General features: G+C 42.8%; 2 pseudogenes, besides 2 other annotated features; both read left to right on the top strand.

Annotated features, from left to right (window-relative positions):
- Positions 1645 to 2310: an enhancer, noted in NCBI's record as "H3K27ac-H3K4me1 hESC enhancer chr1:224058715-224059380 (GRCh37/hg19 assembly coordinates)". NCBI's record gives its function as "activates a minimal SCP1, AML or CMV promoter by ChIP-STARR-seq in naive H9 embryonic stem cells {active_cell/tissue: H9 hESC(naive)}" and the evidence as "EXISTENCE:reporter gene assay evidence [ECO:0000049][PMID:30033119]".
- Positions 2311 to 2978: an enhancer, noted in NCBI's record as "H3K27ac-H3K4me1 hESC enhancer chr1:224058047-224058714 (GRCh37/hg19 assembly coordinates)". NCBI's record gives its function as "activates a minimal SCP1, AML or CMV promoter by ChIP-STARR-seq in naive H9 embryonic stem cells {active_cell/tissue: H9 hESC(naive)}" and the evidence as "EXISTENCE:reporter gene assay evidence [ECO:0000049][PMID:30033119]".
- Positions 8388 to 10178, top strand: ACTBP11 (ACTB pseudogene 11; annotated as a pseudogene).
- On the top strand, positions 15864 to 16916 carry PHB1P11 (PHB1 pseudogene 11; annotated as a pseudogene).

Raw genomic sequence — 22212 nt, 5'->3', positions numbered from 1 at the left:
GAAATGACTGTACCAATTTGTAGCTATGAGGCCTCAGTTCATCTCAATCTTGCCTTCTGGGAGTAGCCAGCCTATTATCCGGTTCAACGAGTTCTGTCAGTTAACCTGAAGCCCAAGAAGATACTATGTATGGTTCCATGTATGTCCTTGCTAGGATGTTTAGACCTGTGTCATGCATTTGCGCCCTACCTCAAAATCACAAGGGCTGTGATTTACAGCCCTTTTTATGGTTACCTAGAACTTTTGGTAGCCTTGAATTTGGGGAAGAAATCGGATAGTTAGTAAACACCTACGCATTTGTGTTCATATAAAGAAGCAGATAAGCTGACCAAAAGAAACCTCTCCCAGTCCTCATGGAATTCTAAGAGATGATTAAATCCTTCTTGAGAATTTTTAATGCATACCCTATCCCACTTCAATTTTTGCAGCCTTGAGCATACTAACAAAAGTGACACGCTTCAGCCTCTGCCGGGGAACTCACAAGCTGTAGCTGCTGCTCTTACTGCTGCTGCTGCTGCTGCTGCTGCTCAGAGTTCCTGCAAGGTTTCATTCAGCTTTAGGAGGCACTACAACTTATGGTTAGGAGCCAAAGCTGTAACTTCTAATTCTGGTCAAGATGCAATAACTGGCACTGGACTAGGCTTCCTGCCATAAACAAACATAAAACTAGATGAAACATATGAGGCAACTGTTTTCAGGCATGAAACAAGACAGTCCAGGATTGTGATCCTTGAGGAAAAGAAAATGCCTGGGGTAAGCCCCATTTGCCCTGGCTCTCTATCTGGGAGCAATTGCTAGACTATGACATCACTAGGTAGAGAGAAAAAAGAGCATGAGGGGACTCCTCTGACCTAAGGAGGCAGAGATTAGAGATTAGGGCTGCTGATAAGGTTTAAACCTGTGGGACAGGGTACTGAAGAGGAGAGAACGCTTTGTAGGGGAAAGGTGGCATGGATATCGTGAGACATATAAATCAGTGGGACTGGGTGGAGAGCCAAGGAACAAACCTGCGTATATATAGTCGATTGGTTTTTGACAAAAGGGCCAAGATAATTAAACAGGGAAAGGATCGCCTATGCCACAAATTGTCCTGGGAAAACTGATATCCACATAGAAAAAAAAAAAAGAACTTTGGCTCTTACTTCACAACATTGTATTAGTCTGTTCTCACACTGCTAATAAAGACGTACCCAAGACTGGGTAATTTACAAAGGAAAGAAGTTTAATTGACTCACAGTTCCACATGACTGGGGAGGCCTCACAATCATGGCTGAAGGCGAATGAGGAGCAAAGTCATGGCGACAGGCACGAGAGCATGTGCAGGGGAATTGCCCTTTATAAAACCATCAAATCTCGTGAGACATATTCACTATTATGAGAACAGCATTGGAAAAACCTGCCCCATGATTCAGTTATCCCCACCTGGTCCCTTCCATGACACATGGGGATTACGGGAACTATAATTCAAGATGAGATTTGGGTGGGGACACAGTCAACCATACCAGACATACACAAAATAATTAAAAATGGATCATGGACCTAAAATTGTAATATAAAAGTGCTAGAAGCAAACATGGGAGAAAATGAAACCTTGGGTTAAGCAAGATTTCTTAGGATGCAAAAAGCACAACACATAAAAGAAAAAAATGATAAATTTAACTTCATCAAAATTAGAATGTTTCCTCTTTGAATGACACTCTTAAGAAAATGAAGGGGAGGGGCCAAGAAGGCCAAACAGAAACAACTCCAGTCTGCAGCTCCCAGTGAGACCAATGCAGAAGGGGGTGATTTCTGCATTTCCAACTGAGGTACCCAGTTCATCTCACTGGGACTGGTTAGGCAGTGGGTGCAACCCATGGAGAACGAGCAGAAGCAGAAGCAGGCATTGCTTTACCCAGGAAGTGCAAGAAGCCAGGGGACCTCCCTCCCGCAGCCAGGGGAAGCCATGAGGGACTGTGCTACCCGCCCGGGTACTACACTTTTCTCATGGATTTTGCAATCAGCAGATCAGGAGATTTCCTGGTGAGCCTACACCACCAGGGCCCTGAGTTTCAAGCACAAAACTAAGTGGCTGTTTGGGCAGACACCCAGCTAGCTGCAGGAGTTTTTTCGTACCCTAGTAGCACCTGGAACCCCAGCGAGACAGAACCGTTCATTCCCTTGGAAAGCGAGCTGAAGCCAGGGAGCCAAGTGGTTTCACTCAGCAGGTCCCACTCCCACAGAGCCCAGCAAGCTAAGAACCACTGGCTTGAAATTCTTGCTGCCAGCACAGCAGTCTGATCGATCTAGGACGATTGAGCTTGGGGGGAGGAGGGGCATCTGCCATTACTGAGGCTTTCGTAGGCGGTTCTCCCCTGACAGTGCTAAGGAGACTGAGAGGTATGGACTGGGCGGAATTCACCACAGTGTGGCAAAGCGGCTGTGGCCAGAGTGCTTATCTAGATTTCTCCTCACTGGGCAGGGCATCTCTGAAGGAAATGCAGCAGCCCTAGTCAGGGGCTTACAGATAAAATGCTCATCTCCCTGGGACAGAGCACCTGGGGGGAGGGGCTGCTGTGGGCATAGCTTCAGCAGACTTAATCTTTCCTGCCTGCTGGCTCTGAAGACAGCAGCTGATCCTGACAAGGGGGATTGTCCCAGCATAGCACACCAGCTCTGCTAAGGGACAGACTGACTCCTCAAGTGGGCCCCTGACCCCAATGCTGACTAGAGAGTTAAAGATATGCTGAAGCTACACATTAAACCTCCCAAAAGGGGTCAACAGACGCCTCATACAGGAGAGCTCTGGCTGGCATCAGGCCGGTGCCCCTCTGGGACAAAGCTTCCAGAGGAAGGAGCAGGCAGCAATCTTTGCTGTTCTGCAGCCTTCACTGGTGATATCCAGGCAAACAGGGTCTGGAGTGGACCTCCAGCAAACTGCAGCAGACCTGCAGAAGAGAGGCCTGACTATTAGAAGAAAAGCTAACACACAGAAAGCAACAACAACATCAACAAAAAGGACACCCACCCAAAAGCCCCATCCAAAGGTCATCAGCCTCAAAGATCGAAGGTAGGTAAATCCATGAAGATGAGGAAAAATCAGCGCAAAAATGCTGAAAATTCCAAAAACCAGAATGCCTCTCCAGCAAGGACACAAAACTGGATGGAGAATAAGATTGACAAACTGACAGAGGCAGGCTTCAGAAGGTGGGTGATAACAAACTCCTCTGAGCTAAAGGAGCATGTTCTAACCCAATGCAAGGAAGCTAAGAACCCTAATAAAAGGTTACAGGGACTGCTAACTAGAATAACCAGTTTAGACAGGAACATAAATGACCTGATGGAGCCGAAAAAAAAGAAAAACACAGCACAATAACTTCAGGAAGCATACAGAAGTATCAATAGCTGAATCAATCAAGCGGAAGAAAGGATATCAGAGATTGAAGATCACCATGCTGAAAAAAAGTGTTAAGACAAGATTAGAGAAAAAAGAATGAAAAGGAATGAACAAAGCCTTCAAGAAATATGGTACTATGTGAAAAGACCAAACCTATGATTGATTGGTGTACCTGAAAGCGACAGGGAGAATGGAATCAATTGTGATATTATCCAGGAGAACTTCCCCAACCTAGTGAGATGTGCCAACATTCAAATTCAGGAAATACAGAGAACACCACTAAAGATACTCCTCGAGAAGATCAACCCCAAGGCACATAATCATCAGATTCTCCAAGGTTGAAATGAAGGAAAAAGTGTTAAGGGCAGCCAGAGAGAAAGGTCGGGTCACCTACAAAGGGAAGCCCATCAGACTAACAGCGGATCTCTCTGCAGAAACCCTACAAGCCAGAAGAGAGTAGGGGCCAAAATTCAACATTCTTAAAGAAAAGAATTTTTCAACCCAGAATTTCATATCCAGCCAAACTAAGCTTCAAAAGCAAAGGAGAAATAAAACCCTTTCCAGACAAGCAAATGCTGAGGGATTTTGTCACCACCAGGCCTGCCTTACAAGAGGTCCTGAAGGAAGCACTAAATATGGAAAGGAAAAACTGGTAACAGCCACTGCAAAAACACACCGAAATACAAGATTATTGACACTATGAAGGAACTGCATCTACTAATGTGCAAAATAATCAGCTAGCATCATGATGACAGCATCAAATTCACACATAACAATATTGACCTTAAATGTAAATGGGCTAAATGCCCCAATTAAAAGACACAGACTGGCAAATTGGATAAAAAGTCAAGACCCACCAGTGTGCTATATTCAAGAGACCCATCTTATGTTCAAAGACACACATAGGCTCAAAAAAAAGGGATGAAGGAATATTTACCAAGCAAATGGAAAGCAAAAAAAAGCATTTTTTTTTTTTGCTTGCAAGTAGGTTGCAATCCTAGTCTCTAATAAAACAGACGTTAAACCAACAAAGATCAAAAAAGACAAAGAAGGGCATCACATAATGTTAAAGGAATCAATGCAACAAGAAGAGCTAACCATCCTAAATATATATGCATCCAATACAGGAGCACCCAGATTTGTAAAACAAGTTCTTAGAGACCTACAAAGAGACTTAGGCTCCCACACAATAATAGTGGGGGATTTTAACACCTCGCTGTCAATATTAGACAGATCAATGAGACAGAAAATTACAAGGATATTCAGGACTTGAACTCAGCTGTGGACCTAATAGATGTCTACAGAACTCTCCACCCCAAATCAACAGAATAAACATTCTTCTCAGTGCCACATGGCACTTATTCTTAAACTGGCCACATACTTGGAAGTAAAAGACTCCTCAGCAAATGCAAAAGAATGGAAATCATAGCAGTCTGTCAGACCATAGTGCAATCAAATTCGAATTTAGGATTAAGAAACTCACTCAAAACCTCACAACTACATGGAAATTGAACAACCTGCTCCTGAATGGCTTCTGGGTAAATAACGAAATGAAGGAAGAAATAAAGAAGTTCTTTGAGACCAATGAGAACAAAGAGACAATGTACCAGAATCTCTGGGACACAGCTAAAGCAGAATTTAGAGGGAAATTTACAGCACTAAATGCCCACATTGGGAAGCTGGAAAGATCTGAAATTGACACCCTAACATCACAATTAAAAGAACTAGAGAAGCGGCCAGGCGCGGTGGCTCACACCTGTAATCCCAGCACTTTGGGAGGCTGAGGCGGGTGGATCACGAGGTCAGGAGTTCAAGGCCAGCCTGGCCAACATGGTGAAATCCCGTCTCTACTAAAAATACAAAAATTAGTTGGGCGTGATGGCGGGTGACTGCAGTCCCAGCTATTTGGGAGGCTGAGGCAGGAGAATAGCTTGAACCTGGGAGGCGGAGGCTGCAGTGAGCCGAGATCCCACCATTGCACTCCAGCCTGGGACAGAGTGATACTTTGTCTAAAAAAAAAAAAAAAAAGAACTAGAGAAGCAAGAGCAAACAAATTCAAAAGCTAGCAGGAGACAAGAAATAACTAAGATCAGAGCAGAACTGAAGGAGATAGAGACATGAAAAACCCTTCAAAAAATCAATGAATCCAGGAGCTGGTTTTTTGAAAAAATTAACAAAATAGACCGCTAGCTACACTAATAAAGAAGAAAAGAGAGAAGAATCAAATAGACACAATAAAAAATGATAAAGGGCATATCACCACTGATCCCACAGAAATACAAACCACCGTCAGAGAATACTATAAACACCTCTATGCAAATAAACTAGAAAATCTAGAAGAAATAGATAAATTGCTGAACACATACACCCTCCCAAGACTAAACCAGGAAGAAGTTGAATCCCTGAATAGACCAATAACAAGTTCTGAAATTGAGAAAGAAATTAATAGCCTACCAACCAAAAAAAGCCCAGGACCAGAAGGATTCATAGCCGAATTCTACCAGAGGTACAAAGAGGAGCTGGTACCATTCCTTCTGAAACTATTCCCAACAATAGAAAAAGAAAGACTCCTCCCTAATTCACTTTATGAGGCCAGCATCATCCTGATACCAAAACCTGGCACAGACACACCAAAAAAACTCCACAAAATTTCAGGCCAATATCCCTGATGAACATCAATGCAAAAATCCTCAATAAAATACTGGCAAACCAAATCCAGCAGCACATCCAAAGCTTATCCACCATGATCAAGTCGGCTTCATCCCTGGGATGCAAGGCTGGTTCAACATATGCAAATCAATGAATGTAATCCATCACTTAAACAGAACCAATGACAAAAACCACATGATTATCTCAATAGATGCAGAAAAGGCCTTCAATAAAATTCAACATGCCTTCATGCAAAAAACTCTCAATAAACTAGGTATCGATGGAACATATCTCAAAATAATAAGAGCTATTTATAACAAACCCATAGCCAATATCATACTGAGTGGGCAAAAGCTGGAAGCTTTCCCTTTGAAAACCGGCACAAGACAAGGATGCCCTCTCTCACCACACCTATTCAGCATAGTATTAGAAGTTCTGGCCAGGGCCATCAGGCAAGATAAATAAATAAGGGGTATTCAAATAGGAAGAAAGGAAGTCAAATAGTCTCTGTTTGCAGATGGCATAATTGTATATTTAGAAATCCCATTGTCTGAGCCCAAAAACTTAAGCTGATAAGCAACTTCTGCAAAGTCTTAGGATACAAAATGAATGTGCAAAAATCACAAGCATTCCTATACACTAATAATAGACAAGCAGAGAGCCAAATCATGAGTGAATTCCCATTCACAATTGCTACAAAGGAATAAAATACCTAGGAATACAACTTACAAGGGATGTGAAGGACCTCTTCAAGGAGAACTACAAACCACTGCTCAAGGAAATAAGAGATGACAAAAACAAATGGAAAAAAAATTCCATGCTCATGGATAGGAAGAATCAATATTGTGAAAATGGCCATACTACCCAAAGTAATTTATAGATTCAATGCTGTTCCCATCAAGCCACCATTGACTTTCTTCACAGAATTAGAAAAGAAACTACTTTAAATTTCATATGGAACAAAAAAAGAGCCCGTATAGCCAAGACAATCCTAAGCAAAAAGAACAAAGCTGGAGGCATCATGCTACCTGACTTCAAACTATACTACAAGGCTACAGTAACCAAAACAGTACGGTACTAGTACCAAAACAGATATATGGACTAACGGAACAGAACCAAGACCCCAGAAATAACACCACACATCTATAACCATCTGCTGTTTGATAAACCTAACAAAAACAAGCAATGGGGAAAAGATTCGCTATTTCATAAATGGTGCTGGGAAAACTGGCTAGCCATATGCAGAAAACAGAAACTGGACCCCTTCCTTACACCTTATACAAAAATTAACTCAAGATGGATTAAAGACTTAAATGTAAAACCTGAAACCATAAAAAACTCTAGAAGAAAACCTAGGCAATACCATTCAGGACATAGGCACGGGCAAAGACTTCATGACTAAAACACCAAAAGCAATCGCAACAAAAGCCAAAATTGACAAATGGGATCTAATTGAACTAAAGAGCCTCTGGACAGCAAAAGAAACTATCATCAGAGTGAACAGGCAACCTACAGAATGGGAGAAAATTTTTGCAATCTACCCATCTGACAAAGGTCTAATATCCAGAATCTACAAGGAACTTAAACAAATTTACAAGAAAAAAACAAAAACTGCATTGAAAAGTGGGTGAAGAATATGAACAGACACTTCTCAAAAGAAGACATTTATGCAGCCAACAAACATATGAAAAAAAGCTCATCATCACTGATCATTAGAGAAATGCCAGTCAAAACCACAATGAGATACCATCTCATGCCAGTTAGAATGGCGATTCTACGTCAGGAAACAACAGATGTTGGCAAGGCTGTGGAGAAATAGGAACGCTTTTACACTGTTGGTGGGAGTGTAAATTAGTTCAACCATTGTGGAAGACAGTGTGGCAATTCCTCAAGGATCTAGAACCAGAAATACCATTTGACCCAGCAATCCCATTACTGGGTATGTACCCAAAGCGTTATAACATTCTACTGTAAAGTCACATGCACACGTATGTTTATTGCAGCACTATTTACTAAAGCAAAGACTTGGAACCAACCCAAATGCCCAGCAATGACAGACTGGAGAAAGAAAATGTGGCACATATACACCATGGAATACTATGCAGCCTTAAAAAAGAATGAGTTCATGTCCTTTGCAGGGACATGGATGAAGCTGGAAACCATCATTCTCAGCAAACTAACACAGGAACAGAAAACTAAACACTGTGTGTTCTCACTCATAAGTGGGAGTTGAATAATGAGAACACACGGACACAGAGAGGGGAACATCACACACTGAGGCCTTTCCAGGGTGGGGGTGAAGGAGAGGGAGAGCATTAGGACAAATACCTAATGCATGCGGGGCTTAAAACCTAGATGATGGACTGCCAAGACCATGTCTGCCAGGTGAGCACAGAGCCTTGCCCTCGCTGCTCTGCAGCCTGTCCACACCCGCCGCCAGCTCACCATGGATGATGATATCGCGGCGCTCGTCATTGACAACAGCTCCGGCATGTGCAAGGCTGGCTTCACAGGGGATGATGACCCCTGGGCCATCTTCCCTTCCATGGTGGGGCGCCCCAGGCACCAGGGCGTGATGGTGAGCATGGGTCAGAAGGATTCCTATGTGGGTGACGAGGCCCAGAGCAAGAGAGGCATCCTGACCCTGAAGTACCCCATCGAGCACGGCATCGTCACCAACTGGGACGACATGGAGAAGATCTGGCACCACATCTTCCACAATGAGCTGCGTGTGGCTCCCAAGCAGCACCCCGTGCTGCTGACCAAGGCCCCCTGAACCCCAAGGCCAACCGTGAGAAGATGACCCACATCATGTTTGAGACCTTTAACACGGCAGCCATGTACGTGGCCATCCAGGCTCTGCTGTCCCTGTACGCCTCTGGCCGTACCACTGGCATCATGATGGACTCTGGTGACGAGGTCACCCACACTGTGCCCTTCTACGGGGGGTATGCCCTCCCCCACGCCATCCTGTGTCTGGACCTGGCTGGCCGGGACCTAACTGACTACCTCATGAAGATCCTCACGGAGCGCGGCTACAGCTTCACCACTACGGCTGAGCAGGAAATCGTGCATGACATCAAGGAGAAGCCGTGTTACATCGCCCTGGACTTCGAGCAGGAGATGGCCACGGGGGCCTCCAGCTCCTCCCTGGAGAAGAGCTACAAGCTGCCTGATAGCCAGGTCATCATCAAAGCAGTTCTGCTGCTCTGAGGCACTCTTCCAGCCTTCCTTCCTGGGCATGTAATCATGTGGCATCCATGAAACTACCTTCAACTCCATCACGAAGTGTGACGTGGACATCTGCAAAGACCTGTACTCCAACACAGTGCTGTCTGGCAGCACCACCGTGTACTCTGGCCTGCATAGCGGACAGGATGCAGAAGGAGATCACCGCCCTGGCCCCCAGCACGATGAAGATCAAGATCATTGCTCCTCCCGAGCGCAAGTACTCCGTGTGGATCGGCACCTCTATCCTGGCCTCTCTGTCCACCTTCCAGCAGATATGGATCAGCAAGCAGGAGGAGTATGACAAGTCTGGCCCCTCCACTGTCCACTGCGAATGCTTCTAGGCGGACTGTGACTTAGTTACATTACACCCTTTCTTGTCAAAACCTAACTTGAGCAGAAAACAATATGAGATTCGCATGGCTTTATTTGTTTTTGTTTTTTTTTTTTTTGGCTTGACTCAGGATTTAAAAACTGGAATGGTGAAGGTGACAGCAGTCTGTTGGAGCGAGCATCCCCCAGAGTTCTACAATGTGGCCGAGGACATTGATTGTACGTTGTTCTTTTTTTAAAAAATAGTCATTCCAAATATCATGAGATGCATTGTTACAGGAAGTTCCTTGCCCTCCTAAAAGCCGCCCCACTTCTCTCTAAGGAGAATGGCCCAGTCCTCTCCCACATCCACACAGAGGAGGTGATAGCATTGCTCTCATGTAAATTATGTAATGCCAATTTTTAAAAATCTTCACCTTAACACTTTTTTATTTTGTTTTATTTTGAATGATCAGACTTTGTGGCCCCCTTTTTTGTCCCTCAACTTGAGATGTATGAAGGCTTTCGGTCTCCCTGGGAGTGGGTGGAGGCAGCCAGGGCTTACCTGTACACTGACTTGAGACCAGTTGAATAAAAGTGCGCACCTTAAAAAAAAAAACCTAGATGACGGGTTGATTGGTGCAGGAAACCACCATGGCAAATGTATACCTATGTAACAAACCTGCATGTTCTGCACATGTATCCAAAAACTTAGAGTAAAATTTAAAAAATTGAAAAATAAATAATTAAAAAAAAGAAAATGAAAGCAATGCACCTTTGGGAGAAAATGTTCTCAATACACATGTCTGTTAAAGGACATTTTCCCAGAATCTATAAAAAAATTCTTACAACTCAATAATAAATAATTCAATTAAAGATGGGCTTACACTTGAACAGATACTTCACAAAAAAATACAGATGGCCAATAAACATATGAAAAGATGCTTATCACAAGTTATCAGACAATATCAAGTATTCTCAAATATGTGGAGCACCGGAACTCTTTTGTACATTGCTGGTGGGAATGTGAAACAGTACAACCGTCTTGGAAAAGTCTGCCAATTTTTAAAATAAAGGTAAACATACACCCACCAATTCTGTTACTAGATATGTATCAAAGAAAAGTGAAAACAGGTTGGGTGCAGTGGCTCCCAGCACTTTGGGAGGCCAAGGTGGGTGGATCAAACACCTGAGGTCAGGAGTTTGAAACCAGCCTGGCCAACATGGTGAAACCCCTGACTCTACCAAAAAATACAAAATTAGCTGGGCCCACACTGGTGGGTGCCTGTAGTCCCAGCTACTGGGGAGGCTGAGGTGGGAGAATAGCTTGAACCCGGGAGGCGGAGGTTGCAGTGAGCTGAGATCATGCCACTGCACTCTAGCCTGGGCAACAGACTGAGACCCTGTCTCAAAAAAAAAAAAAAGTGAAAACGTGTTCACAGAAAGGCTTGTACATAAATGTTCATAGCAGGTTTATTTATTCACAATAGCCAGAGAAATAGGAAATAACCCAAATATCTCTCTGTAGGTGAATGGGTACAAAAATCGTGGTACATATAAATAGTGGAAAGTTATTTAGCAATAATAGAAATGAATTACTGATATATGCAATAACATGAATGAATCTCAAAAGGTTATGCTGACTAGTGAAATTTGCTAAGAGAGTAAGTCTTAAATGTTCTCACCACACATACACAAATGGTAATTATGTGAGGTAATGGGTGTGTTAACTAACTTGATCATGGTAATCAGTTCACCATTTATATGTATATCAAAGCATCATGTTGTATACCTAAAATATATATAATTGTATTTGTCAGCTATTCCTCAATAAAGCTTGGGAAAACCCTTACACACTTAAAAAATATAACACCGTAAGAGGTAAACAGATGGCAATTCTGCTTTGTACAATACAAGCAAGGTTTGATCTTATTCATATGACTTTTTAAATGTATATAAAAATGAGACTGAAGTCAGGTGTGGTGGCTCATGCCTGTAATCCCAGCACTTTGGGAGGCTGAGGTGGGTGGATCACCTGAGGTCAGTAGTTCGAGACCAGCCTGGCCAACATGGAAAAACCCCATCTCTACTGAAAACACAAAATTAGCCGGGCGTTGTGTTGCATGCCTGTAATTCCAGCTACTCGGGAGGCTGAGGCAGGAGAACGGCTTGAACCCAGGAGGCGGAGGTTGTGGTGAGCTGAGATTGTGCCATTGCACTCCAGCCTGGGCAACAAGAGCGAAACTCCATCTCAAAAAAAAAAAAAAAAATGGGGAGAGAGACTGAAAATTGAAATCTCTCTTTGAGAAACAGATACTTATCTGTGTAGGGTACAGGAATTTCAAATTATAATTCCCCCCAAAATACAACAACAACAACAAAAACGTTATGGTGAACAAAAGAAGAGCAACACGAAAGAGTACATACTATTTTATTTTATTCATATGACATTCTGGAACATGGAAAACTACTCTCTGGCATCAGAAAGCAGATCTGTGGTTGCCAGTGTAGAGAAGACTAATACAAAGGGGTATGAGGATGAAGGAAATGTTATATAGCTTGATCTGTTTGTATTTGCAAGGGTGTATACATTGGCAAAACTCAAATAACTATACATTTAAGATACGTGCATTACTTTGTATGTAAATTATACCTCAATAAAGTTGACTTAAAAAATGAAGAACACAGGCTTTTGCATTACAGTGACCTGTTACTATTTCTCACTTGTACCCCTTGTAAAAGTTACTTATCTAAGTTCGAATTTCTTTATCTGTAAACTGGGAATATTAATAGTATCAATTTCATAGGGTTGTTATGAGATTTAATAAGATATTATATGTTGTATACTTCCAAGATCTGTCATGGAACTTAAAAATCAAAGGTAGTTCCTATTACTACTACACATGGTTTTTTTCTAATCACATCATGAAAGAATGCAGTTGATAATTCAGCCCATTTTTCAGAAGAGCTGCCTTTATAGATCTCAGAGTAGATGTGCACCTTTGCCTACCACCCACAGATCAGGCAGGCAGAAAATACAGACCATACTCTGGAAAAGCACCTTCTTTAATGCCAACTATCAGCAGGGAAATTGGGCTAAACTTCCTCTCCCAGCTGAGCTAGAGTATGACAATCTGTGTGCCTGGATACAGGGAGGGGCCCAATCTTTTATTACGAATTGAGATTTCTTTGGAGCAGAGCTACCCAGTTAGCCTGGAGCTACTCCAGGCTGACTCGAGTAAAAATGGGCTCATCTGACCCAGCTCGGTGTCAGAACAATGGGTCTATCTTAGATTCATCTGTGGTGTTATGTTTCGCTAAGGTTTTCTGCCCTCCTTGTCTATGACAGCTTGCTTAGCAACTTGAACCTGCTCTGCCCACAGTTTGGTTCTCTGCCACTTACCTTATGATTAGTATCTCAGTAACAGCTCCTGTCTGAACTTACCACTCACACACCAGTTTAATCACAGCCTGACTAGCCAGCTCTGCACCACCTCCTGCAGAACTTCTTGCCCAGATGGCTGCTGCCTTCTTGCCCAGATGGCTCTTCTCTTGGAGCCACCAGAAGAGTGAACCCTTCAGACTGAATAGCTCTCGGCTGGCACCTGGGAGAAGCAGGAAGAAATTTTTAGATTACACTTATCTGAATTTCTAATCTGAAGTATCAAAGCTGCATTCCATCACCCCTGCAAGGGATTTCAGTCTAAGATAAGAACTGAGGATGCATAATGGGTGGAGATTAATACCAGAGTTTAATGAAGCGGGGTTTGATACAGCTGGTGCATACAATGCCTTATTTGTCTTTGTATCTCCTGTTTTAGAGGAAGCCTTTCTGTTTGCAAGAGTTTCCTCTCTTTCGACTTTTCGTTCCATATGTTCCCTTGCCTTTGGATATTGCTCAGGTTAACCTAAAAACACACCCAGTGATGACAATGTGTAGAACATTCTATTTGTTTTTTTAGGCAATATTACATAGTGGTTTTCACCTTAGGCAGGCATAGATTTGAATCATCTCTGCTATTTATGAGTTGTGTGATTTGGGGTGAGGCCCTCTGCTCTAGCCATTCTGGCCTTTCTTCTGCCTCTCCAGCATGCCAACCTCACTCTTCCAAGGTTTTTGCATTTGCTCGTCTCTCTGCCTGAGACCCTTTTCATCCAGGACTTCTGAGGATAGTTTCTTCTTGTCTCTCGGATCTCTGTTCAAATGTCATCTCTTTGGATAGAACTTTCCTCACCATTATTTCTAAAATGCCCCACCTCGGTCACTATTGCACCATCTTATTTTAGTGTCTTCATAGCATTTATCTTATTTACTTGTTTATCATCTCTCTTCCCCAATTAGAATAAAAACTTCTAAGCTGGGCACAGTGGCTCACGCTTGTAATCCTAGCACTTGGGGAGGCTGAGGTAGGCGGATAGCTTGAGCTCTGGAGTTTGAGACCCGCCTGGGCAACGTTGCCATATCTTATCTCTACAAAAAAATACCAAAATATTAGCTGGGCACGGTGCCATGCACTTGTAGTCCCAGCTACTCCGGAGGTTGAGGTGGGAGGATCACATAAACCAGGGGAGGTCGAGGCTGCAGTGAACTGTGATCATGCCACTGCACTCCAGCCTGGGTGATGGAGTGAGAGCCCGTCTACAAAAAACAAAACAAAACAAAACAAAACAAAACAAAAAGAATAAAAACATCTAGAGAGCAGGGCAGGGCAGGAGGAACTTATCTGTCTTTTTCACCACAGTATCCCTAAAGTTTAGAATTGTACCCAGCACATACATAGCAGGTTTTTAGAAAGTTATCTATTCAATCAGTCAGTAAGTTAACATCTCTAAGCTTTAGTTTATCTGTAAAATAGAGATAATAGTACTTTCCTATAGGGTTAATGAAGATAATATGAGGAAATATTCGTAAAGGGCTGAGCATGATGCCTGACATATAGTAATTGTGCTATAAATGGTAGACATAGTTATTATTCTTTCTGCCTCCATTTCCCCTCTCCTGAGTATATAAGCTCCTCTAGAGCATCGACAATGCCTTATTCATATATTTCATATTGCTATGGATATAGTAGACAATAAAACTTAGTTTCAATGAAATAAAAATTTTTCCTAGTAAATCAAGGCTTCGAATAAGTGAAATAGAAAATACACTAACCGAACCAACCAAAGATGGTGAGCTCATCTTTTGGACTCAGTTAATCAGCCCTCCTCCCAGTGAGGGCTTTCATGACTGTCTCATCCTGGGAGGGTCAGGGGATAAGGTGACTATCCCTTGTGTGAACTTCAGCCAGAGCACCAGTGCATTTGATTTCACTCATGTGCTCGTAGGTACGTTTTCCTCTGCTAGATTGCGTGTGCTTTGAATTACTTACCTTTGTATCCCCACTGGCTGGCCCCTTGCCTTCTCTCGTACTCAGTATAGAAGTATTGAAGAATAGAACAGTGGTAAAGGGACAATAGTACAGGGATTAAGAATGTAGACTCTGGGCTCAAAGCATCTAGGTTCAAATCCTAGCTTCTAGCTTCTGCCACTTACCAACTGGGAGGCTTCAGACAAGTTACTTAACTTCTCTGTGTGCCTCAAGTTCCTCATTCATAAAATGAGGAGAACAAAAGTACCAATTTCATGAATATGGCAATGAAAATATTTCCTACCTATAGGGTTCTTAAAATAATGCTTTTTTTTTTCTTTTTTGAGACAGAGTCTTGCCCTGTCGCCCAGGCGATCTCGGCTCACTGCAACCTCCACCTCCCAGGTTCAAGCAATTCTCCTGCCTCAGCCTCCCAAGTAGCTGACACTACAGGTTTGCACCACCACACATGGCTAATTTTTGTATTTTTAGTAAGATGGGGTTTCACTATGTTGGCCAGGCTGGTCTTGAACTCCTGACCTCAGGTGATCCACCCACTGTGGCTTCACAAAGTACTGCGATTACAGGCATGAGCCACCACGCCTGGCCAAATGCCTTCGATTTTATGTGTACTTCATTTCACATAAATGTGCCCCAGACAGTGACTGGATCATAATAGACATTCAGTCGTGTTTATTGAATTAAATTGAAAACTTGAATGTAAATTGATATTCAGGGGTAAAGAAAAGCATGTTTATTTATTTATTTTTGTAGCTGGGACTATAGGCGCATGCTACCATGCTGGGCTAAATGTGTATTTAAATGGACAGGGAGAATTTGCCATAGTCGGTTCTTTTGTATAAGCATACTTTGATTACTTTTTTCAAGTTCATATTTATTCTATTAGATGTAGTAAATGTGATGTATGTTTGAAAATAGATTTCAGGGTATGTGTGGTTGGGGAATTCATGTGGAGGTCAGAGTAGAAGCAGATGTGAGAGGGTCAAGCAGAAGAAAACATGGCTGCCAAAGTGTTTGCGTCCATCGGCAAGTTTGGCCTGGCCTTAGCTGTTGCAGGAGGCGTGGTGAACTCTGCTTTATATAATGTGGATGCTGGGCACAGAGCTGTCATCTTTGACCGATTCCATGGAGTACAGGACATTGTGGTAGGGGAAGGGACTCACTGTCTCATCCCCTGGGTACAGAAACCAATTATCTTTGACTGCCGTTCTCGACCACGTAAAGTGCCAGTCATCGCCGGCAGCAAAGACTTACAGAATGTCAACATCACACTGCGCATCCTCTTCTGGGCCGTTGCTAGCCAGTTTCTCGCATCTTCACCAGCATCGGAGAGGACTATGATGAGCGTGTGCTGCTGTCCATCACGACCGGCATCCTCAAGTCAGCGATGACTCGCTTTGATGCTGGAGAGCTAATCACCCAGAGAGAGCTGGTCTCCAGGTAGGTAAGCAATGACCTTACGGAGCGAGCAGCCACCTTTGGGCTCATCCTGGACGACGTGTCCTTGACACATCTGACCTTCGGGAAGGAGTTCACAGAAGCGATGGAAGCCAAACAGGTGGCTCAGCAGGAAGTAGAGAGGGCGAGATTTGTGGTGGAAAAGGCTGAGCAGCAGAAAAAGGTGGCCATCATCTCTGCTGAGGGCGACTCCAAGGCAGCTGAGCTGATTGTCAACTCACTGGTCACCGCGGGGGACGGTCTAATCGAGCAGGAAGCTGTGGAAGACATCGCGTACCTGCTCTCACGCTCTTGGAACATCACCTATCTGCTGGCGGGGCAGTCCGTGCTCCTCCAGCTGCCCCAGTGAGGGCCCACACGGCCTCCACTTCCGCGGGCTGACCGGGCCACAGCCCCGGTGATTCTTAACGCCGCCTCCCTTCTGCTCCCACTCCAGAAATCACTGTGAAATTTCATGATTGACTTAAAGTGAAGGAAATAAAGGTAAAACCACTTCAGATCTCAAAAAATAAAAAAAGAAAGAAAATAGATTTCAGAAAACAATTACTTTAGGAGAAAAAAATCTTCAGTGGTTACAGTTTGAGGACTCATCAGTTCGAAGTGAAAATTCTCTCTAAGCAGATACTACTCTCCTTTTTCAGTTTTGTAGTCTCCTAAATTTACCTTCTCTGCTGACCTTTTAAAAGCTCCCTCTGGGCCTTAACTAGAGCAATAAAAATTGAGTTTGGCCAAGACTTTTACAAATTTTACTCTTGGGAGTCTCTCTGAACCTGTTCTGGGGTTCAGGGGCTGCCTGACAAAATACAAAAAAAGTTACTCTGTCTCAATTAATGTACATTGGGCGACAATAAGAGGTGGGGTGAAATATTCTCAACTGTCAATAAGAAACTTGAATGTCATACATAACAGTTATTAGAAGTGAGTTATGAATTCCTCATAAGTGGGATTTAAATGATGATATAAAATCATCGAGTTAGTTTCTCCTTGTCTCTCCTTTTTTTTTTTTTTGAGTTGAGTCTCACTCTGTCGCCCAGGCTGGATACAGTGGCGTGATCTCGGCTCACTGCCACCTCCACCTCCCTGATTCAAGCAATTACCCTGCCTCAGCCTCCCGAATAGTTGGGATTACAGGCGCACACCACCATGCCTGGCTAATTTTTTTTTTTTTTTTTTTTTTTTAGTAGAGACGGGGTTTCACCATGTTGGCCAGACTGGTCTTGAACTCCTGACCTCAGGCAATCTGCCCACCTCAGCCTCCCAAAGTGCTTGGATTACAGGCGTGAGCCACCATGCCCGGCCTAGTTTTTCCTTTTCTAATTATTTATCTTTAGCTATTCAGAGAAAAACTTTTGTGGCAGCAACACAATTACATTCATTTAGTAATTGAGAGTCAAACATTGTGTGCTAGGCTAAAGGGAATGCCCAGAACTTTAAGAACTGGTCCTTTCCTCAAAGGAACTTAGGCCACGTAGCTGTAAAATCAGTGTGCTTTTCATAGGTATTCTTGAAAAATACTTGAATAAATCCCAAGTTTAAAAATGATTTAAAAATGGTTAGGATGCAGTTCATTCAGTTCATTCTCATCTAACACTGTGTGTTTAAGAGGTGACCAAGAAGAAATACATGTACATTCCTTACAGTAGAATAAAGCCCCTTTGCAAGGGGGAGAATGGAAGCTGCGACATACTTCGTTGGTGGCCAATGGGCCTTTGTGAGTTCTTGGCACTTGGAAGCCTGTTTTCAGTATTTCAGGCTAAAATTCTCTTGCTTGTCAATAGAGAAGCCTTAATTTTTCTTTCTAAAGTCTCATCACATAGATTTTCTTTTTTTTTTTTTTCAAATGCTCATGGTAACACGGTAGTTATAAATATAGTTTTTTTTTTTTTTTTCTGAGACAGAGTCTCACTCTGTTGCCCAGGCTGGAGTATAGTGGCACCATCTCGGCTCACTGCAGTCTCCACCTTCTGGGTTTAAGCGATTTTCCTGTCTCAGCCACCCAAGTAGCTGAGTTAACAGGTGCTCACCACCATGCCCAGCTAATTTTTGTATTTGTATTTGTATTTTATTTATTTATTTTAAGACAGAGTCTCACTCTGTTGCCCAGACTGGAGTGCAATGGTGCGATCTCCACTCACTGCAACCTCTGCCTCCCGGGTTCAAGCAATTCTCCTTCCTCAGCCTCCTGAGTAGCTAGGATTATAGGCGGCCACTACCGCACCCGGCTAATTTTTGTATTTTTAGTAGAGACAAGGTTTTGCCACGTTGGCCACGCTTGTCTTGAACTCTTGATCTCAGGTGATCCACCCGCCTTGGTCTCCCAAAGTGCTGGGATTACAGGAGTGAGCCACCGCGCCCGGCCAGTGTATTTTTAGTAGATACGGGGTTTCACCATGTTGGCCAGGCTGGTCTCGAACTCCTAACCTCAAGTAATCCATCTGCCTCAGCCTCCCAAAGTACTGGTATTACAGGTGCGAGCCACCGCCCGGCCTCATAAATATAGTTGTTTATGAAAGACACCACCATTGGCCAATCATCAGAAGGGGAGCACTTTAGGTCTGTATTTCAGCAAGAGATTTACATTCCATAGATCCTTTCACTCTCATTCAATCAGAACTTTTTGTAGGCATTTATGAGATGGCTATTTGGGGTGACAGATATAATCTATGGCCATAGAACTGGGAAACACTGACTTGAATCATGTAAGCTACAGACAAATGAATAATTCATTGATTTAGTCACTCTTTAATTAATTTATTTATTCATTCTACTATTATGGACTGAGCACTGTTTTAAGTACTGAAGAATCCATGCTAAACAAGGATGAGTAGAGTCCCTACCTGTGGGTTACAGTATTGTGGGAGAGACTGACATTAATTGAATAACACAAACCAGTGTAATGAATACAGTGAATACAGTGGTGACACATGGTGTGAAGGTGAGGTCCTTGGAGCTATGCTACAGCATGTGCTAGAGGAAGCATGAAGGGCAAAAGGGAAACTGAAAAAGGTGGTGTGGCTGAGTCTCACAGAAGGAGAGGACTGTGGTACCTAGTACCACTGAAGGATGGGCAGAGACAGGCATTCAAGGGCTTGGAGGCAGAGTTAAGGAAGGACATCAAGCAGTGCTATCTTGTGATCAGATTTACGAGAAATGATGGTAGCTTGAATAGCATGGCTGTAGTCACGGAAGAAAGGGAGCTTGATGAGATATTTAGGAGACGGAATGAATAGACCTTGATGATTGAATAGATCTTAGAGATGAGGGAGAAATAAGGTCAAACATGATTCTCAGGTCTGTGGCTTGAGAAAATGGGAGAACACTTGTGGCATACACTGAGACAGGAAGTACTAGATGAGAACCAGAATTGGGAATAAAAACTACCCCTTGGTTTTAGACATGCTGAGTTGAGACATGTTGATATGGAAATCCAGCACTATTCAATAGAGCTTTCTGTGATGATGGAAGTGTTCTGTATCTACACTGCTGAGTATTTTAGCCATTACTCACATGTGGCTATTTACATTTAAGCTAAAATAAAAGATTTAGTTTCTCAGTTGCACTAGCCACATTTCAAGTGCCCAACAGCTATATGTGGCTAGTGATTTTTGCATTTGACAATGCAGTTCTAGAACCTAGAGAAGCAGCCTAGGTTGAAAATATAAAAAATTAGCCAGGCATGGTGGCTTATGCCTGTAATCTCAGCACTTTGAGAGGTCAATCCAGAAGAATTGCTTGAGGCCAGGAATTTGAGACCAGCTTAGACAACAAAGTGAGATCCTGCAGCTATAAAAAAAAATATGAAAATAGTCTGGGCACAGTGGCTCACGCCTGTAATCCCAGCACTTTGGGAGGCCGAGGAGGGCAGATCACCTGAGGTCGGGAGTTTGAGACCAGCCTGACAAGCATGGAGAAACCCCATCTCTACTAAAAATACAAAATTAGCCTGGCATAGTGGCGCATGCCTGTAATCCCAGTTACTTGGGAGGCTGAGGCAGGAGAATTGCTTGAACCGAGGAGGCAGAGGTTGCAGTGAGCCGAGATCTTGCCATTGTACTCCAGCCTGGGCAACAAGAGCAAAATTCCACCTAAAAAAAATAAATAAATACATAACAATTAAAAAGTTGAAAAAAATTAAATTTAGTCATACATGATGGTGTGCACCTGTAGTTCCAGCTACTCAGGAGGCTGAGGTAGAAGTCTTGCTTGATTCCAGGAGTTTGGGGCTGCAGTGAACTATGATAGCACCACTGCACTCCAGCCTGGGAACAAAGCAAGAGTCCACCTCTTAAAAAAAAAAAAAAAAAGAGAGAGATGTGTGTCGATGAGGTTTAAGACTGTGAAGACAACTTTCTAAGGAAGAAGTGAAGGTAGTCAGTGAAAAGAGGAAATGGCTAGGACTGAGACTACAGGACCTTCAACTTGTAAAGTCTGGTGAACAAAAATGAGCCTTCAAAGGATACCAAGAAGTAATCAGGGAGGTAGGAGAAAAACTGTAAGAGCCTTGTCATATAAGTCAAGTGAAAAGGGTGTTTTGAAAGGAATGAGCAACAGCTAAGTTGTTCTAGAAGGTTGAGGAAGATGAGACTGAAGATGTTTATTGGATCAGTGAAACACAGGCCATTGGTGACTTTGGCAAGAGCTGTTTCAGAGGAGGGATGAGGCTGAAAGGCAGACTAAATGAGTGAGGAGGGGGTGAGGTAATGGAGAGAGAACTGACAATAGAAGAAAATAAATCATGGGCTCCTTTTTCCACGGGCTACCAATAAAACAGGGAATTACTTTAGCCAAATCAAGCTAGAGTCATATATCATAGATATATGTCTTCAAACACTGAGTTTATCCTACAAAGTTACCAATTTTGAATCTTTTGTCATGATTATGAGGAGATATATGTGTGCTGGGTTTTCTTCCTACTCCAACTACCTTGGAGGGTGGGTATGAAATAGACCATGTGAAGGCTTAGAGGCCATGTTGAAGTATTCTTTATCCTAACAGCAATAAAAAGCAACTGAAGGCTTTTCTTTTTTAAGTCATTTTATTATCTAAAATTTAGAGCATACAGAAGAAGAGAGAAAAATGTAACTCATCACTCCCGGGTATTATTCATCACCTGACCCTAACACCCTTCAGCCTTTAGTCCTGGCCCATCCATACCCCATCTACTTAGATGAGAAGTTTTAACCACAGGAGTGATATAATTACACTTGTGTTAAAAAGACCATTCTTGCTGCTGGGTAGAGCAAAAGTCAGCACATTTCCAGGTAGTAAATATTTTAGGCTTTGCTGGCTGTACAGGCTCTGTTGCAACTATTTAACTCTTGTTGTAGCTTGAAAGCCGCACTAGACAATACATAAATAAATAAGTGTGTCTGTGTTCCAATAAAACCTTATTTATGGACACTGAAATTTGAATTTCATATAGTTTTTGCATGTCACAAAATATTCTTCATCTTGTTTTGATTTTCCCCCTCACAATTTAAAAATGTAAAAATGATTTTTGCTCATAGGCAATACAAAAACAGGCAGAAGGCCAAATTTGGGCTGTAGTTTGCTAAGCTCTAGGGTAGAGAATGAATTGCAGCAGGCAAGAGAAGTTGTGGGAAGACTTGCCCAAGGCTATTGCAAGAATCAGAACAAAAATCTCGCTATTCCTGTACCTAGTAAAGAGAAAAGACAGCATGGTAAGCATTTATTAGGTACTATACCATTGAGTATCTATTATTCCCTAGGCACAATGTTAGGGCTAAAGATATACAAATAAATGAGTAAGAAATCGTTTTTGCCTTGCAGCTAGTTAGGGAGACAGATGTGGTTTTT

This window comes from Homo sapiens, chromosome 1 (assembly GCF_000001405.40).
Source record: "Homo sapiens chromosome 1, GRCh38.p14 Primary Assembly".
Taxonomy (NCBI): domain Eukaryota; kingdom Metazoa; phylum Chordata; class Mammalia; order Primates; family Hominidae; genus Homo; species Homo sapiens.
The sequence above is the reverse complement of the archived record's forward strand: the minus strand, read 5'-3'. Positions and strand labels throughout refer to the sequence as shown.